At 44.8% G+C, this 17,815-nt stretch overlaps 1 protein-coding gene across 1 annotated transcript in view, besides 4 other annotated features; it reads left to right on the forward strand.

Annotated features, from left to right (window-relative positions):
* SV2C (synaptic vesicle glycoprotein 2C) overlaps positions 1 to 17,734 on the forward strand; it is a 506,476-nt gene extending 488,742 nt beyond the window's left edge. The window contains exon 13 of the mRNA NM_001297716.2: positions 16,925 to 17,734. Coding sequence (NP_001284645.1) covers positions 16,925 to 16,955 — 31 coding nt within the window. The 3' untranslated portion in view covers positions 16,956 to 17,734. The remainder of the gene's footprint in view (positions 1 to 16,924) is intronic.
* Positions 241 to 871: an enhancer, noted in NCBI's record as "H3K27ac-H3K4me1 hESC enhancer chr5:75632271-75632901 (GRCh37/hg19 assembly coordinates)". NCBI's record gives its function as "activates a minimal SCP1, AML or CMV promoter by ChIP-STARR-seq in naive and primed H9 embryonic stem cells {active_cell/tissue: H9 hESC(naive and primed)}" and the evidence as "EXISTENCE:reporter gene assay evidence [ECO:0000049][PMID:30033119]".
* Positions 1,843 to 2,068: a silencer, noted in NCBI's record as "fragment chr5:75633873-75634098 (GRCh37/hg19 assembly coordinates)". NCBI's record gives its function as "represses an EF-1alpha promoter that drives an FKBP-Casp9 reporter gene in an ReSE screen in HepG2 liver carcinoma cells {active_cell/tissue: HepG2}" and the evidence as "EXISTENCE:reporter gene assay evidence [ECO:0000049][PMID:32094911]".
* Positions 3,349 to 4,118: an enhancer, noted in NCBI's record as "H3K27ac hESC enhancer chr5:75635379-75636148 (GRCh37/hg19 assembly coordinates)". NCBI's record gives its function as "activates a minimal SCP1, AML or CMV promoter by ChIP-STARR-seq in naive H9 embryonic stem cells {active_cell/tissue: H9 hESC(naive)}" and the evidence as "EXISTENCE:reporter gene assay evidence [ECO:0000049][PMID:30033119]".
* Positions 15,030 to 15,099: an enhancer, noted in NCBI's record as "active region_22689". NCBI's record gives its function as "activates an Ori minimal core promoter by ATAC-STARR-seq in GM12878 lymphoblastoid cells {active_cell/tissue: GM12878}" and the evidence as "EXISTENCE:reporter gene assay evidence [ECO:0000049][PMID:35858748]".
* Positions 17,735 to 17,815: the final 81 nt, after the last annotated feature.

Genomic DNA, 17,815 nt, shown 5'->3' on the forward strand with positions numbered 1-17,815 from the left:
CCCAGACGGGGTGGCTGCCGGGCGGAGGGGCTCCTCACTTCTCATATGGGGCGGCTGCCAGGCGGAGGGTCTCCCCACCTCTCAGACGGGGCGGCCGGGCAGAGACGCTCCTCACCTCCCAGAGGGGATGGCGGCTGGGAAGAGGCGCTCCTCACTTCCTAGATGGGATGGCGGCCTGGCAGAGACGCTCCTCACCCTCCAGACTGGGCAGCCAGGCAGAGGGGCTCCCCACGTCCCAGACGATGGGCGGCCAGGCAGAGACGCTCCCCACTTCCCAGATGGGGTGGCGGCCAGGCAGAGGCTGCAATCTCGGCACCCCGGGAGGCCAAGGCAGGCGGCTGGGAGGTGGAGGCCGCAGTGAGCCGAGACCACGCCACTGCACTCCAGCCTGGGCACCACCGAGCACCAAGTGAACCAGACTCCGTCCGCAATCCCGGCACCACTGGAGGCCGAGGCCGGCGGACCACTCGCAGTTAGGAGCTGGAGACCAGCCCGGCCAACACAGCGAAACCCCGTCTCCACCAAAAAAACACAAAAACCAGTCAGGCGTGGCACACATTTTCCTTTCTTTCCTGCTTCATGATCAGGCTGTTGAATGAGGGAGAAAAGAAAAGTCCACAGGCTTCAAAACCCCTAGTGTATCAGGGATGATGGCAAGTACAGGAATTCACCAGAGGATGCTGGGGTGCAGATAACTTTAGCAAAAGTCATTGCGAGTTCTGAAGGAAACAACAGGCCTGGCATGGACCAGTGGCTCCAAAGCCCCAAATGTGAAATTCCTAATAATCAGTGTGTTAAAACAAGGCAACATAAGTCTTGAGGTATACCTTTTCCTGCTTGTTGATATCTGATGCAATGAAGTTGCTATCATTATCTGTATTGTTTGCTAGGGCTGCTGTAACAAAATACCACAGACTGGGTGGCTTAAGCAACCAAATTTCTTTTCTTACAGATCTGGAGACCAGAAGTCTGAGATCCAAGTGTCAGGGAGGGTTGGGTTTTTCTCAGGACTCTCTCCTTGGCTTGTGCATGGCCATCTTCTCTCTGTGTCTTCAGATAGTCTTCCCTCTTTACATATCTGTGTCCTAATTTCCCTTTCTTATAAGGAAACCAGTCATGCTGGATTAGGAGGTAGTCCAACCCCATCCAGTACCTATACTAATGACTTCTTTTCAACTCGAATACCTCCTTAAAGACCCTATCTCCAAACTCAATCACATTCTGAGGCACTGCGGGGTTGGGACTTCAACATACGAATTTGGGAAGAAGACAATTCAGCCCAATTCAGCATTGTCCCAAATACTACCTATTTGATTATGTATGTATACTGTATACTGTGTATAGAAGTTTGCTGTGTATATATTGTTATAGAAGGGAATGGAATGTGCCTATGGTCTGATGGGCAGGTAGCATGGGCTGTGTGCATGCATTCACACCTGTGCATGCTGTTCATTCAGAGGGGATGATAAAGACAGGCTGAGGAACAAGGGTCCTGCACTCATAAGCCAGAAACAGATAATTCTGGGGGAGACCTCAGGGCAGCCTGGCTAGGCTACTCTGAGAACTGTGGTTATTTGCCTCCCTCTGTCTCTCCATTTATTAGAATTCCAGATGAGAATGTGCTCTCTCTGCACAGTAATTTAAAAAAAAACTTGGAGTCAGTAGGCACATCCTTCCTCTCCCTACACCACAGCCTCTGAACAAAGCAGCCTTCTCTGTGAGCCTGTCCCCAGGGGAAGCTTCCTCCAAGACAGTGACCAGCTTGAGCCCTGGTGGCTCCAAGGGGAGCCAGGGGCAGCAGCATGCCTGGAGTTGGATAAGACCATGCCACCTACTGCTACTGCAATCCCTTTGTTCGGTGGGGAGAGCAAATGCATCATCCTCTCCTGTAATTTGCAGTCCAGACACCAGGTGGAGAAATGAAAACCACAAAAGGAGACACATTCTTGAAGGAAAGCCAGGCTCCTGCCCTGCAGCCACTGGAACTCCCTGGGGCCAGAATGAAGTAGATAGGACAGGATAAGCTCCAACCTTGACTCCAAGTGCACCAGCAGTCACCTGCCTTCAGCCATATTTCTGCCTCCTCTACTCCAGAGCTCTCAGGGAGGCTGAACAGACAGCACCTGAAGCAGCTCCACTCCCTAACATCTGCTTCCTCACCTTCAAGGTGGCACCAAAAATGCCCTTTGGACTGAGATTTCCAAGGAAACTGCATCAGCAAATTCAGGTTTGGGTGGGGCTATAAGGAAAGCCACCATACATTACAAAGGGCTAAGTGATGTATAAGTTGCCCCACCCCTTTTGCTCTTTGCAAACATTGGACATATCCCACCCCCACTGCAGTCTGCTGCTGCTAACCCTCTCTGAGGGGCTTTGCTGTGCTATTGCCCCCTCTTCAGCCTCCCACCTTCAGTAGAAGACAACCATAGTATTTTCTTTTTCTTTTTCTTTTTCTTTTTTTTTTTTTTTTGAGACAGATTCTCACTCTGTCACCCAGGCTGGAGTGCAAAGACACGATCTTGGCTCACTGCAACCTCCACCTCCTGGGTTCAAGCGATTCTCCCACCTCAGCCTCCCGAGTAGCTGGGATTACAGGCACCTGCCATTATGCTTGGCTAATTTTTATATTTTTGTTGAGATGGGGTTTCACCATGTTGGTCAGGCTGGTCTTGAACTCCTGACCTCAGGTGATCCAACCGCCTCGGCCTCCCAAGTGCTGAGATGACAGGTGTGAGCCACCGCTCCCGGCTTACAGTACTTTCTAAAGTACCCTCAGGCTTGGGCATTTCTCTTTCCAAACTGAGGACTGGAAGCTTCCGAGGCAGACACTGTGTCACCATTGCTAAGAGCATGAGTTTGAGCAGGGTCACCTCAAGGTTTGGGAAGACGGGTCCTCTTTAAGAAAAATAATACAAAATTACAAACACAAAATTAACGTAAAAGTAACTAGAATGAGAAAAGAGGTCCTCACAATTTACGCATTTTAAAAAAACTGATAAATTCACAAATTTTAACAAAATCCAGAAAAATAACAATCCTTTTTATTAACTGCCTGACACATTTCTATAAATTATTTTTCTATATTTTTTCAGTGCATATTCTTTGATTGCCTCTTCATTTTCATATGGCAACAGTTTTGTGATATCATTGCCTATATAGAGAATAGAAAGATAAAAACTGGTTGTGATTAGTAATAGTTGTTTGGTTTTTTTTAAGATTTCTCATTTCAATGGGCATGGTGGCTCACGCCTATAATCCCAGCACTTTGGGAGGCCAAGGCGGGCGGATCACGAGGTCAGGAGATCGAGACCATCCTGGCTAACAAGGTGAAACTCTGTCTCTACTAAAAATACAAAAAATTAACTGGGTGTGGTGGTGGGCACCTGTAGTCCCAGCTACTCAGGAGGATGAGGCAGGAGAATGGCGTGAACCTGGGAGGCGGAGCTTGCAGTGAGCCAAGATTGTGCCACTGCACTCCAGCCTGGGCGACAGAGTGAGACTCTGTCTCAAAAAAAAAAAAAAAGAAAAAAAAGATTTCTCATTTCTCCTCCACTTCCCACATACTCTCTGTGCTGAAGACACAGGCCACATTCAGTTTTGTAGTCCAGCGTCTGGCTTTGTCAGAGGCGTTTAAACCAGAGCAACTCCATCTTGAATAGGGGCTGGGTAAATGAGGCTGAGACCTATTGGGCTGCATTCCCAGGAGGTTAAGGCATTCTAAGTCACAGGATGAGATAGGAGGCTGACAGAAGATACAGGTCATAAAGACCTTGCTGATAAAACAGGTTGCAGTTAAAGTAGCTGGCCAAAACCCACCAAAACCGAGATGGTGAGGAAAGTGACCTCTGATCATCCTCAGTGCTCATTATACACTAATCATAATTCATTAGCATGCAGAAAGACACTCCCTCCAGCGCCATGACAGTTTACAAATGCAATGGCAATATCAAGAATTTACCCTATATGGTCTAAAAGGGGGAGGAACCCTCAGTTACAGGAATTGTCCACCCCTTTCCCAGAAAACTAATGAATAATCCACCCCTTGTTTAGCATATAAGTAAGAAATAACTATACGTATCCTTAGTCCAGCAGCCCAAGCTGCTGCTCTTCCTATGGAGTAGTCATTCTTTTATTCCTTTAATTTCCTAATAAACTTGTCTTCACTTTACTGCATGGACTCACCCCTAATTCTTGTGTGAGGTCCAAGAACCCTCTCTTGGGGTCTGATTGGGATCCCTTTCTGTTAACAGTTCTGTACATCAAGTCAGGACACAGGCATGTGGGCACAGTGGGCAGCAGGATATTCCAGGAAGTCATCCTGCAGTGGGACAGCTAGCAATAACTTAATCTCAGAAGGGACTGCAAGGCACACTAATATATCCCACCAACTCAAACTGAAGATATCCCAACTCAGATTCCTCTTAGCCTATCCGCAAAATGCCCAGCTCCACCCAACACTGGAGGAAATTGGAGAAAAGCAAGGCAGAATGGAAAGAAACAGTAGTTTTAACTGAGTAAGGAAACAAACTACTAAGATTGCAAATTTTCTAGTTTTGCAAATTTTTAAAATTTTTTATTATTTTTCATAGAGACGAGGTCTTGGTATGTTGTCCAGGCTGGTCTCGAACTCCTAGGCTCCAGCTATCCTCCTGCCTCAGCCTTCCAAAGTACTGGGATTACAGTCATGAGTCACTGTGCACCTGGCCTAGTTTTACAAAATTTTTTTTTTTTTTTTTTTTTCCGAGATGGAGTTTCACTCTTGTCGCCCAGGCTGGAGTGCACTAGTGCAATCTCGGCTCACTGCATCTTCTGCCTCCCAGGTTCAAGCGATTCTCCTGCCTCAGCCTCCCGAGTAGCTGGGATTTCAAGTGCCCACCACCATGCCTAGCTAATTTTTATATTTTTAGTACAGACGGGTTTTCACCATGTTGGCCAGGCTTGTCTCAAACTCCTGACCTCAGGTGATCCACCCACCTCGGCCTCCCAAAGTGCTGGGATTACAGATGTGAGCCACCGTGCCCAGCCACAGATTTTTAAAAATTATATGACCAGCCACACATGGTGGCTCACACCTGTAATCCCAAAACTCTAGGGGGCCAAGGCAGGTGGATTGCTTGAGCCCAGGAGTTCAAGACCAGCCTGAACAGCATCCATCTCTACAAGAAACATGAAACAAAAAAACAACAACAAAAACACATATGACCATGTGAACACATTGCTAGGATCCACTTAGCACTTGGGAAGGGACTTATGCAAATGGAGGTGCCGGGGCTTAAGTCTCAGTAGCTTCATAGTAAACATTTCTCTGAGCTTTACAGTCAGACAATATGGGTTTGAGTCCTGACTTGGCCACTTAGCAGTGATGTGATGCATTGAGAAAGCAAAAATTAGTTTTTCCAAGCATTCATTTCTGCAACTGTGAATTAGAAATGATGATAGTTTGTATTTCACTGGGGTTTATAAGGATTGAGAAAATGTATATAAAAGGTTCAGCAATGTGCCTGACACACAAATTCTCACTAAATCATAGCCGCTGTGATTAGCACTACTGGCTCACATCTGCTCCTGGAGGCAGATCTACACTTCCTTTCACTATGAGGATATTGGCATGTGGTGATCATGGGAGCCAGATCCCCTTGGGGTGCCGAAATGGGGTGGTGGGGAGGGGGTGGAACCTTGGCATTGCCTAACTCTCACAAGACTTTTTGCAGGACCGAATAATTCCTAGCTTCTATTATCATAGGCATGCATAGCAGGTACCTAGGCCTGTGGTGACCCCGGCAGCAACTCCAAGTGACTTACCCACATACCCCAAACCCTGCTGTGATTCTGCTTCCCACAAAAGCAGCCTGCACAGGGCCCTTCTCAGTGCACAGATGTCCAGCTCCATGGGAGGGCCTCTGGCAGCCAGAAAGAGGAGGAAGGAGAGAAGGAAGGGGAAGTGGTCATGCATATACGGGGACCTTACCAACTCCTGCAGGCCGTGAGTACACAGTACAGAGCCTGGCAGACCTGACACAACTCGTCAAGGCTGCCTTTCCCCTGCTACCCAAGGCTTTGCCATTCATCTTGTCAGATCAGAGAAGCTACAGGCACAGAATGTTTGTCCAAGGCTCTGAGTCTTTTCCAGGTGCAGCCTCAGCAAATCACACCAGGAGAAGGAGTCCTGCTTCCTCAGGACTAAAAAGAAGACCAAAGAGCAACTGTTCACAGCAGGCCAAGTTTACAAAACGGTGGTGGAGAAAATGAATAATTTACGAGGATGAATGCAAGGCCATGTGAAGTGATCTCTATACACACAGGAAGGTACCACAGGAAGCCAACAGTGAATGTCTGGAGCCCAACACTGTGCCAGGCCCCACAGGGCACACTCTGGAGCTGGTAAAGGTGGAGCAGCACTGCCAGGAGTTGGGAGCTCAGTCTCTAGACTCACACAGACCTGAGCTCACACCTAAGTTCTCCACTTGTAAGCTGTGTGGCCCAGGACAAGTTCATTAACCTCTCTGGGCCTCAATTCCTCATCTGTAAAACGAGGATACTTATTTGGGATATTCTTGTTTGAAAGGATTGAATAATATAATCCAAGTGCTTAAAACACACACTCAGTCTTTTATTGCATACATTTAATGTGTACAACATGGTATGTTGGTATACATAGAACACATTGTCTCTCTCTCTCTCTTTTTTTTTTTTTTTTGATAGAGATGGGGATCTTGCTATGTTTCCCAGGCTGGTCTCGAACTCCTGACCCCAAGCAATCCTCCTGCCTCAGCCTCCCAAAATGCTGAGATTATAGGCGTGAGGCACCGCACCTGGCCCACATTCTCTTAATGATGTATTTTGATGCACAGAAGTTCCTAATTGTAATGTAGTCTAAGTTATCAACCTCTCCGTTTAGGTCAGTGCTTTGATTTCTGTCTACTTCAGGGTCAGGAAGACATTCTCCTCACCTAGCAGCTTTATTGTTTTTCATTTCACATTTAGATCTACATTCAGCTGGAATTCATTTTTGTGTATCTTTAGTAGTCATCAGAAGATCAAAAGACATCATTAAAGGAGTAAAAAGGCAAGCCTCAGAGTTAGAAAAGGTATTGACAATTGCAATCACCAAGAAAGGTATTTGATTCAGACAAGATGAAGAATTCCTACAAATCAATACAAAAAAGACATGCAACCAAATAGAAAAAGAGCAAAGACTTAAACATAAACTTCACCGAAAAAATATCCAGAAGATTATGGCCATTTAACATATGAAAAGGTGCTCAATTTCATTAGTCGTGAAGGAAATGCAAATAAAACCATGGTAAAATGCCACTAGAGACTCCCCCAAATGGCTAAAATTTAAAAGACTGATAATACCATGTGCTGACAAGGAGCACTCACCAAGGAACTCCCACTGCTGAGGAGGGGGGCAAATTGGTCTGACCACATTAGAAACATGTTTGGAAATACCTGCTAAAGCTGCATAATTCCTCTTGGTATACACTCAATAGAAAGGTTTGCATATGTGCACCAAGAGACATGTACAACAAGGTTTGTAGCAGCTGGTGCCAAATATAGGACATCATGGAAAAATGCTGCCTTTCATGTGGATCGCTTGAGCCCAGGAGTTCAAGACCAGCATAGGCAACATGGTGAAACCCCATCTCTACAAAAACTATGAAAATTAACTAGGCGTAGTGGCACATTCCTGTAGTCCCAGCTACTCAGGAGGCTGAGGTGGAAGGATTGATTGAGCCCTGGAGATTGAGGTTACAGTGAACGGTGATCACGTCACTGCACTCTAGCCTGGGCAACAAAGCAAGACCATCTCAAATAACAACCGCAACAACAAACATTGCCTTCATCAGATTACCCTAGACTCACCCATTATCATCCAACCTCTGCCCCCTGCCCATCTTCTTTCTAGCATTCACACATCCACCTGAATTATATATTCTACTTCTCCCTGTTTTCCAGCATTTTTATGATTCCTTCTGAAGTGTATTTTACCTCAGCTTCCAAAATAAGTATGATTTTAAGTGCCAAGATCACTAAAGAAAATTCAGAAAAGGCAGCTTGCCCTTGATTTGTTACAAAAGAAATACATCCCTATGGGAAAGAGACACTCTCTTTTTCCAGACTTCCTTATAATATAATGGTTACCATTAATTGAGCTCCATCTACGAGACTTGGTGCTTTACAGACATTGTTTGTATTAATTTATTTAAAAATGATTTTAGGCCGGGTGCGGTGGCTCACGCCTGTAATCCCAACACTTTGGGAGGCCAAGGCGGGCGGATCACCGGAGGTCAGGAGTTTGAGATCAGCCTGACCAACATGGAGAAATCCCATCTCTACTAAAAGTACAAAAAATTGCTGGGCGTGGTGGTGCACGCCTGTAATCCCAGCTCCTCGGGAGGCTGAGGTAGGAGAATCGCTTGAACCTGGGAGGCGGAGGTTGTGGTGAGCTGAGATTGTACCATTGCACTCCAGCCTGGGCAACAAGAGTGAAACTCCATCTCAAAATAAATAAATAAATAATTTTTAAAAAATTATTTTATGACATATTTGTATTTTAAATAATTTAAATTAAAAATGAACTATTTGTGATTCATTTCTTTCTTAATTTAGAATGAACTATTTTGTTACAGTTATTTCATAGCCATGTGGGTATATTATTATCCTCATTGCATAGATGAGGAAACTGACACTCAGGGAATTTAAATGACTTGTCCCAAAATGCACAGCTAGTCAGTGACAGGCACAATTCAACCCTAAGTTGTTCAATCTTATTCTAACGTGCACAATCTTAACTACTAGGCTACCATACTTGCATATTCAGGACTAACCCAGCATAGATGTTACATCCTCGATATTCTCTCTTTTGCCTTTTTAGGCAACTGGGAAAGGCAAGCTCAAAAAGTAGAAGGGAGAGTGTCAGCATTCTGGTATTTAGAATGAATTCATTGAAGGGTAAGCAAGTTTATCACGTGCCAGTTCTCAACTAGGCACCAACAAACAATGGCTTAGAAAAACAGATCTAGTCCCTGCCCTCACAGAGCTTCCACCTGGAAGACTCTCCAAACGGCAAATAAGCATTCATTTAGGACACTTATTCAATAATATTATTGATCAGTCGCCATGTGCATGGCACTGTGCTGGGTGCTGGAGACAGGCAGGGTGGAAAAGATAGACCCAGCTTCTCCTCTACCAGCTTACAGTCTAGCTGGGGAGACAGACAAGTAAATAGGCAAGGACAATATGACATGTATTATGATGGCAGAAGTTCTGACATTATCAGGGCTCCTAGAAGTAGGCCCCAACAGGAGGGTTAGGGAAGGCTCCCTAGACGAGGAACACCACCCTTCTCTGCTCATACTCTTGAAGTGAGGCCAAGAGACTGCTGAGCCATCTTGGCTTGTCCAGGCTGTCAGCGTGATTTCCAAAGTACTCTTTCATCTGTTGGCTAACTCAATAGTAATAGCTAACAATTACAGAGCATTTAATATGAGCCAGGCACTGTTCTAGTGCTTTACAAAACATTTCTCATTTCATCCTCCCAGGAACCCTAGCTGGGAGCACTTCTGTTTACAGAAGAACCTGAAGCACAGTGAGAGTGAGTCACCCACCTGACATCACATAGCTAGTCAAGGGAAGAGCCTAGCTTGGCACCCAGGCAGAAGGCTCCAGCATCTGCACCCCTCCATCACCCTCAACTGCCTCTCTGTGTAGAAAGCCCCAAAATACCTAATGCATGAAACCACTCCTCAGAGCTCTAGTTGCCCAAAGGTCATTTTTGTTCGCAATAAGCAAAGGGATATAGCCAGACCTGTGCTGGTAAGTATTTAACAACGATCTCTCCAGATTTGTAGCGTTTGCAGATTTCCTTGGTGTAATTACTTCCACCATGGTTAATTTCAAGCTACCAGTGTGATGTCTCCAAATGTGGAGTTGGGAGAAGTGCAATCCTATCATTCTATAGTATTTCCACCATACAGATACAATAGGTGTAAATAATCTTAAGTGCGCACATAATGGTATATGTAGGAAAATAATCAGGAGGCGATACATTCTGAGGATTTGTTACCTTTGTTTTTAATGTAATTTGTTTAATTTTAAGTTTATATAACTTAGCTTTTGACAATGGCTGTGTTTAACGATGGCTTGCAAAAATTCCTGAAAATTTAGCATCAGCTTCTGTGAGCCAGTACAACACACTCCAGCACTTCAGTGGATATAGTCCCAGGTTCTCTGGCTTGAGTCTAAGCTCTAATTTCCTGCCTCTGCTTCCTTTGCAACTTTAGGTGCCCTACAAATTACCCCCAGGGAGAGAAGGGAGAAGGGAGAGGTCTTAGCAAGTACTTAGCACCTGCTACGTGGCAGTCGCTGCGGTCAGTACTTTATGTTATTTCATTTTACACTCACTTTGATCTCTTAGGAAAGAGATTAATGCATGTATATATTTTGTTTGCACTTTTTTGCCATTGTATTCCCAGGGCCTTGGACTGTGCCTTACACATAGCAGACACAAAACTCATGTTTGTTGAATGAATAAATGAATGAAAAAGCTGAGGATGAAACCGACTCCTCAACCTGCATACAAGGCCCTCAGTGATCTGGCCCCTGCCTCCCACTGGCGCCTCCCTTCCCACCATGCCCAAGTGAATCCATCTCACCTGCACACAGCTTGCTGCTAGACACTGCCAAGACAACTTGGCTTGTGCTGTCTCCGCTACCTAGAAGGCCCTTCCACCGTGCATCTTTCTTAAATCAGATTTCCCCAGAAACAGACTCTAAGAGAGAGATTAAACTGCAGGAAGTGTATTGATAAAAAGCTCTTGGTGAGAACTCTCATAAAGAAGTGAGAGGGAAAAAAGAGGGGGGAAAAACAGAAGTGAAGAAAGTGGGACGGGGCAGGAGAAAGCTGAGCTGTGATGGAGGCCTCAGCCAAATTGACGGCACGCTCAGCATATGGGATGGATTTCAGAATTTTGCCATATTGAGGCAAAGGACAGGGCCTTTTTACCCCCATTTGTACCTCATCATTGAATGATGGCCATCTATGGATGGGGGATAACTTTGGGTGAAGCAGCTCCCTTTGCCAAAGGCATGGTCTGGAGAGGGACTAGGCTGTGAGCCACCAGCAAACAACACTCTGGGAAGCTGGGGAATGAGTGCCTCGATCTTAAAGGGAGATCTGGGCTGCACATTCCACCATGTACCTTCTTATTTCTTACCTATGCCCGGACATGTTTTGTTTTTTTGTTGTTGTTTTGAGACAGAGTCTCTCTCTGTCGCCCAAGCTGGAGTGCAGGGGTGCAGTCTCCTCTCACTGCAACCTCCACTTCCCAGGTTCAAGCAATTCTGGTGCCTCAGCCTCCCGAGCTGGGACTACAGGCATGCACCACAATGCCCGGCTAATTTTTGTATTTTTAATAGGGACAGGATTTCACCATGTTGGCTAGTCTGGTCTCGAACTCCTGACCCCAGGTGATCTGCCTGCCTCGGCCTCCCAAAGTGCTGGGATTGCAAGCGTGAGCCACCCGTGCCCGGTCCTAGCTATGTTATTTAATAGACTTTATATTTTAGAACGGTTTTAGGCTCATAGTGAAATTGAGCAGAGGGTACAGAGAGTTCCCAAATATCCCCTGCCCTGATACACAGCCTTTCCCATTATCAACACCCCTCACCAGAGTGGTAATTGTTACAACTGATGACCCTACTTTGACACATCATTTTCACCCAAAGTCCATAGTTTACCTTAGGGTTCTCTCTTGGTGTTGCACAGTCTATGGGTTTGGACAAAAGTATAATGACATGTATCCACCATTATAGAATCATACAGAATAGTTTCACTGACTTAAAGATCCTCTGTGCTCCAACTATTCATTCCTCTTTCAGCACCCCGTACCCCTGGCAACCACTGATCATTTACTGTCTTCATATTTTGCTTTTTCCAAATGTCATATAGTTAGAATCATACAGTATGTAGCCTTTTCAGATTGGCTTTTTTCACTTAGTAATATGCATATAAGGTTCCTCCATGCATATTACTCCATGTATATTCATGGCTTGATACCTCATTTCTTTTTAGCACTGAATAGCATTCCACTGTCTGGATGTACCACGGTGCATCCATTTATCTATTCACCTACTAACAAACATCTTGGTTGCCTCCAAAGTTTGGCAATTATAAGGAAAGCTGCTATAAACATCCATATGCAAGTTTTTGTATGGACATAAAAGTTCCTTTGGGTAAATATCAAGGTACATGATTGCTGGATTATTTGTAAGGATATGTTTAGTTTGTAAGAAACCGCGAAACTGACTTCCAAAGCTGTACCATTTTGCATTCTCACCAGCAGTGAATGAGAGTTCCTGTTGCTCCACATCCTTGTCAGCATTTGGTTTCACTGCCCACTTAACTCAGCAGCTAACTGTACCAGAGAAGGTTGTACATGAGTAATGTGACTCTATATAATAAAGCTAAATCTTTAGGTGCCCTGTAGAGCAGTAATGGTTAAGAACATGGGCTGGGCATGGTGGCTCATGCCTGTAATCCCAGCACTTTGGGAGGCCGAGGCAGGTAGATCACAAGATCAGGAGTTCAAGACCAGCCTGGCCAAGATGGTGAAACCCCATCTCTACTAAAAATACAAAAAATTATCTGGGCGTGGTGGCAGGTGCCTATAATCCCAGCTACTTGGGAGGCTGAGGCAGAGAACAGCTTGAACCCAGGAGGCAGAGTTTGCAGCGAGCCGAGACCATACCACTGCACTCCAGCCTGGGCAACAGAGTGAGACTCTGTCTCGAAAAAGAGAAAAAGAACATGGATGCTAGAGCCAAATTTCCTGGGTCCATTTCCATACTCTATCATGTCTAACTAGTTAACCTTGGATAAGTTGCTTAACTTCTCTGTCCCTCATTTGTTTCATCAATAAAAAAGAAGAATAGTACCTACCTCTTGGGGTTGTTGAGTTAATGTAAAGTATTTAGAACAGTGTCAGGCACAGAGTAAGCCCTCAATAAATTTCAGTAATTAGGCCAAGCACGGTGGCTCACGCCTGTAATCCCAGCACTTTGGGAGGCCAAGGCAGGGGGATCACGTGAGGTTAGGAGTTCGAGACCAGGCTGGCCAACATAGCAAAATCCCTGTCTCTACTAAAAATACAAAAATTAGCCAGGCATGGTGACGCGCACCTGTAACCCAGCTACTCAGGAGGCTGAGGCAGGAGAATCACTTGAACCCGGGATGGGGAGGTTGCAGTGAGGTGAGATCGCGCCACTGCACTCCAGCCTGGGCACTCCAGATGGAGCAAGACTTCATCTCAAAAAATAAAATAATCCAGTGATTATTACCAAAGACATGTATATTTTAAACAATTCAGTTTAGATTGTCAGAAAATGACTGACTAGAAAAAATCCTTGAAAGTTTTGGCTCTCCACAAGAACACATGGAAAGAGATGGATTTTTAGCCTTCATTTTTTTTTTTTTTTTTTGAAGCAAAGTCTCACTTTGTCACCCAGGCTGGACTGCAGTGGCATAATCATAGCTCACTGCAGCCTCAAACTCCTGGCCTCAAGTGAACCTCCCACCTTGGCCTCCCAAAGTGCTTGGGATTATAGGCAGGAGCCACCATGCTGGGCCATCAATGGCTACACTTTTAAAATCCTCACACAGTGAAGCAGTGTATCAGACATTCCAGAGTAATAACCCCAGGTATGCAGTTGAAGACTTGCTATAGCAAGTACAAGTAAGACAGTTTTTCTGTGTCCACACAACAGAAACCAACTTCATGTTGATAATAGCATTGCAAGCGCCTTAGCTTCCCACTGATGTTCAGATGCTAGGTTCTGGTTTTATGGACTCAAGGAGGTGTGTTACATCCTTCATCTTGAGCTATTTTGTGCACTGTATGTTTAAAATGATGCAAGAATTAAACGATCACAAATCTGCATGTCTTAAGTGACCATTACCATTTCCTCCATCCTGCCCTCCATACATGTGATTTTCCTCTCTAGGGGCCCTTTAGCTGCTAGAGAAAAAAATATGAGATTTCCTGTCTGTCTGCCATGACTTACCTATCTTCTATCCCTCATTCCCCAGAGAAGCAAAGGGCCAGGAAGAGAGAAGGAAGAAGAAGGGATATGGGAATATGGGGAACTCTCCAAGGAGAAGCAAGGCAGTCATCTGCCTTCTCCAGAGCAACTATTTTCCTGGGGCCTCAGGAAATGTGACATGCCTGTTGAGACTCTAATGAGTGCAGCAGCCAGGTTCTGTGGTCTCATTTTCCAGTGTGAAATCCTTTGTTCAGTGTGGCTTTAGCTATAACACCACGGAGGCCTAGAGACAGCAGGTTGCTGACTGGTGCAAGTATCTTTATTCAGTCACTAAAAATATATATACTAAGGAACTAAAATGAGCCAGAAATATTTCTAGGCACCAAAGGGAATAATACATTGTTCCTTTCCTCAAGGAGCCTACATCAGAATGGGGAAAGACAGACAATAAGTAAACAAATAGATCAACAAAATTCTGTAAGATGGGCTGGGCATGGTGGCTCACGCCTGTAATCCCAGCACTTTGGGAGGCCGAGGAAGGTGGATCATGTGGTCAAGAGATCCAGACCATCCTGGCCAACATAGTGAAACCCTGTCTCTACTAAAAATACAAAAATGAGCCAGGTGTGGTGGCACATGCTTGTAATCCCAGCTACTCAGGAGGCTGAGGCATGAGAATCGCTTGAACCCGGGAGGCGGAGGTTACATTGAGCCAAGATCTCACCACTGCACTCCTGCCTGCTGATAGAGTGAGACTCCATCTCAAAAAAAAAAAAAAATTCTCTAAGATGGTATGCAGAGCACAAAACAGGATGATGCATCTGCATCACTGGGTCGGTGCAACTTCAGATTGAATGGCCGGGGAAGGCAGCTTTCTGGAGGCGGCCATTGACCTGAATAACAACGATATATCTTAGGCCAGGTGAGATAGCTGAACCTGTAATCCCAGCAGTTTGTTAAGCTGAGGTAGAAGAGTCACTTGAGCTTAGGGGTTTGAGACCAGACTGGGCAACATAGTGAGACCTTGTCTCTACAAAAACAATAAAAAAATTAGCCAGGCACGGTGACGTGCACCTGTAGACCTAGCTACTCAGGAGGCTGAAGTGAGAGGATAGCTTGAGCCCAGGTGGTTGAGGTTGCAGTGAGCCATGATCGCACCACTGCACGCCAGCCTGGATGACAGAGTGAGATCCAGTCTCAAAAAAAAAAAAAATAGTCTCAATGTTCAGTCTGGGCTAGATAGTATTTTGCTTTGGAAACCTCTATGAGCTGGGGTGTCCCTCTTCCCACAAAGAGACAAGCATGAAATTGGATGCCAGGCTGCATCTAGAAAGGTATGGGAACTGTCTCAGCAGGGAATTGCTTCAGCACTTCTACACCCTGCCACAGTGGAAATGTCAGTTTACAGAGCTAGCTGCCTCCACTCGAGCTGCTGTTGGTCTTCTGTCCCAGTCAGTGTATCTGTTCTATAGTGCTGATACTAAAACCACAACAAAAGCACCTTGCTGTAATAGCTCCAACTATAGTGCTAGCCAGACCGTGTCTCCTGTGGACCCGGTATACAAATTTCTCACCCTCGCATGGCAAGCTCAGTGCATGCAAATAGTTCTGTCATTTAGAGCATCATCATCAAGGGATTGTACTTTACAGAGGATAAAATCTCACTTTAAAAAAAAATCGGCTGCTGGACGCGGTGGCTCACGCCTGTAATCTCAACATTTTGGGAGTCCAAGGTGGGTGGATCACCTGAGGTCAGGAGTTCGAGACCAGCCTGGCCAACCTGGTGAAACCCTATCTCTACTAAAAATACAAAAATTAGCTGGGCATGGTGGTGGGCACCTGTAATCCCAGCTACTTGAGCGGCTGAGGCAGGAGAATTACTTGAACCCAGGAGGCGGAGGTTGCAGTGAGCTGAGCTTGCGCCATTGCACTCCAGCCTGGGCGACAGAGTGAGACTCTGTCTTAAAACAAAACAAAACAAAACAAAAACATCTGCCATGTAATCCAACAAGAGAAAAAAAAAGTAAAGATTAATTATGAACGTAAGCAACTCCATCCAAAAAGGAAGCTGTTATGGTTTGACTGTGCCCCCAAAGTTCACGTGTTGGAAACATAAGCCCCCAGTTCAACACTGTTGAGAGGTGGGACCTTTAAGAGGTAATTAGGTCATGAGAGCTCTGTCCTAATGAATGGATTAACGTTATCTCAAGAGTGGGTTCATTACTGCAAGAGTAGGTTTGTCATAAAAGCTAGTTCAGCCCCCTCTTTCTCTCTCTTGGACTTTCTTGCTTTTCTTCTTTCCACCATGAAATGATGAAGCAAGGAAGACCCTCACCAGATGCTGGTCCCTTGGACCTCTCAGCCTTCAGAACTGTAAGAAAGAAATATGTTCTTTATAAATGATCCCAGTCTGTGGTATTCTGTTATAGCAGCACAAAACAGACTAAGACAAAAGCTGGCTAGACAATAAATATTTCATATCCCTCCAAATTCTCTTTTGGTCTTTTTAATATGCATCGGTACATTTTCCACAATTTTAATCAGCATAAATACACAGGTCTGTATCTTAGTTTTTTTCTACTTTACATTTTTCATATAATACATTTCCACATATTAATATTGCTCCCATGTGTCATTTAAACAGTCTTATAGAATCTAAGCATATTGAAATTCTTTTTTTTATTTTTACCTCTTTTTTTTTTTTTTTTCCTGAGACAAGGTCTTGCTCTGTTGCCCAGGCTAGAGTGCAATAGTGACATGATCATAGCTCACTATAATCTTAACTGGGCTCAAGTGATCCTCTTGCCTCTGCCACCCCAGAAGCTAGGACTACAGGTGGGAGCCACCATGCCCAGCTAATTTTTTAATTTTTTTTTTGTAGACGCAGAGTCTTGCCATGTTGCCCCGGCTGATCTTGAACTCCTGGCCTCAAGCAATCCTCCTGCCTCAGCCTCCCAAAGTTCTGGGATTACAGTCTCGAGCCACTGCACCTGGCTTTCTTTCCATTTTTGAGGATTAAAATTACTTGAAATTTTCCAAATATATTATACAAGGTCTTGCTAAGAACTTAGTAGATTTCTTTATTGTTGTCTTTTTTCTCTCTCTTTTGCCTTGTAGAAATATCCCACAAAGTGAAGTAACCAAGTCAACAAGTGTGAACAATTTTATAGCTCTCCTTAAATTTACTATACAGCTCTCAGAAACAACGGAGCCAGTTTATAGCAGGAGCCATTAGTGGGTGTGGACCTCTTTTCTAAGATCTGCTTCTAAACTTGGCTTTATCACATAAAGAGAGAAAAGCATTACAAACAATTTGAAGGAATTCTTTGTCTTATAAAAAAAATTCTGAAAACCTCCTTGTATTCCCACTAGGAGGTATAGTTAACCTTGCAACTCCACAAACAGACCACTTTACACACTTGCCCAGGGGCCTTTGTTTTTGCTTGCCCCTCCTCTGAAATGCTCTCTACAGGTGATTAAGTGGCTTTTCCCTTTACTTAGGTGTCTACTCAGGTAAAATCTTAACCAAGACGCCTTTACTTAAAATGTCCCTCTGCCCCACCCTGAGGCTTTTAACTTGCATAGCCCTCATCATCACCTGACATAATATGTACTTCTTTGCTTTTATAGATATTATCTGTGTCCCTCCACTAGGATGTCCATTTCATGGGAATAAAGACTTTGTCTCTTTCATTTGCTTCTATATTCCCGGTGCCAAGAAGATGCCTCATACATAGTAAATGCTCACTAACTATTGTGGAATGAATGAGTG

Source organism: Homo sapiens, chromosome 5, assembly GCF_000001405.40.
Source record: "Homo sapiens chromosome 5, GRCh38.p14 Primary Assembly".
NCBI lineage: Eukaryota > Metazoa > Chordata > Mammalia > Primates > Hominidae > Homo > Homo sapiens.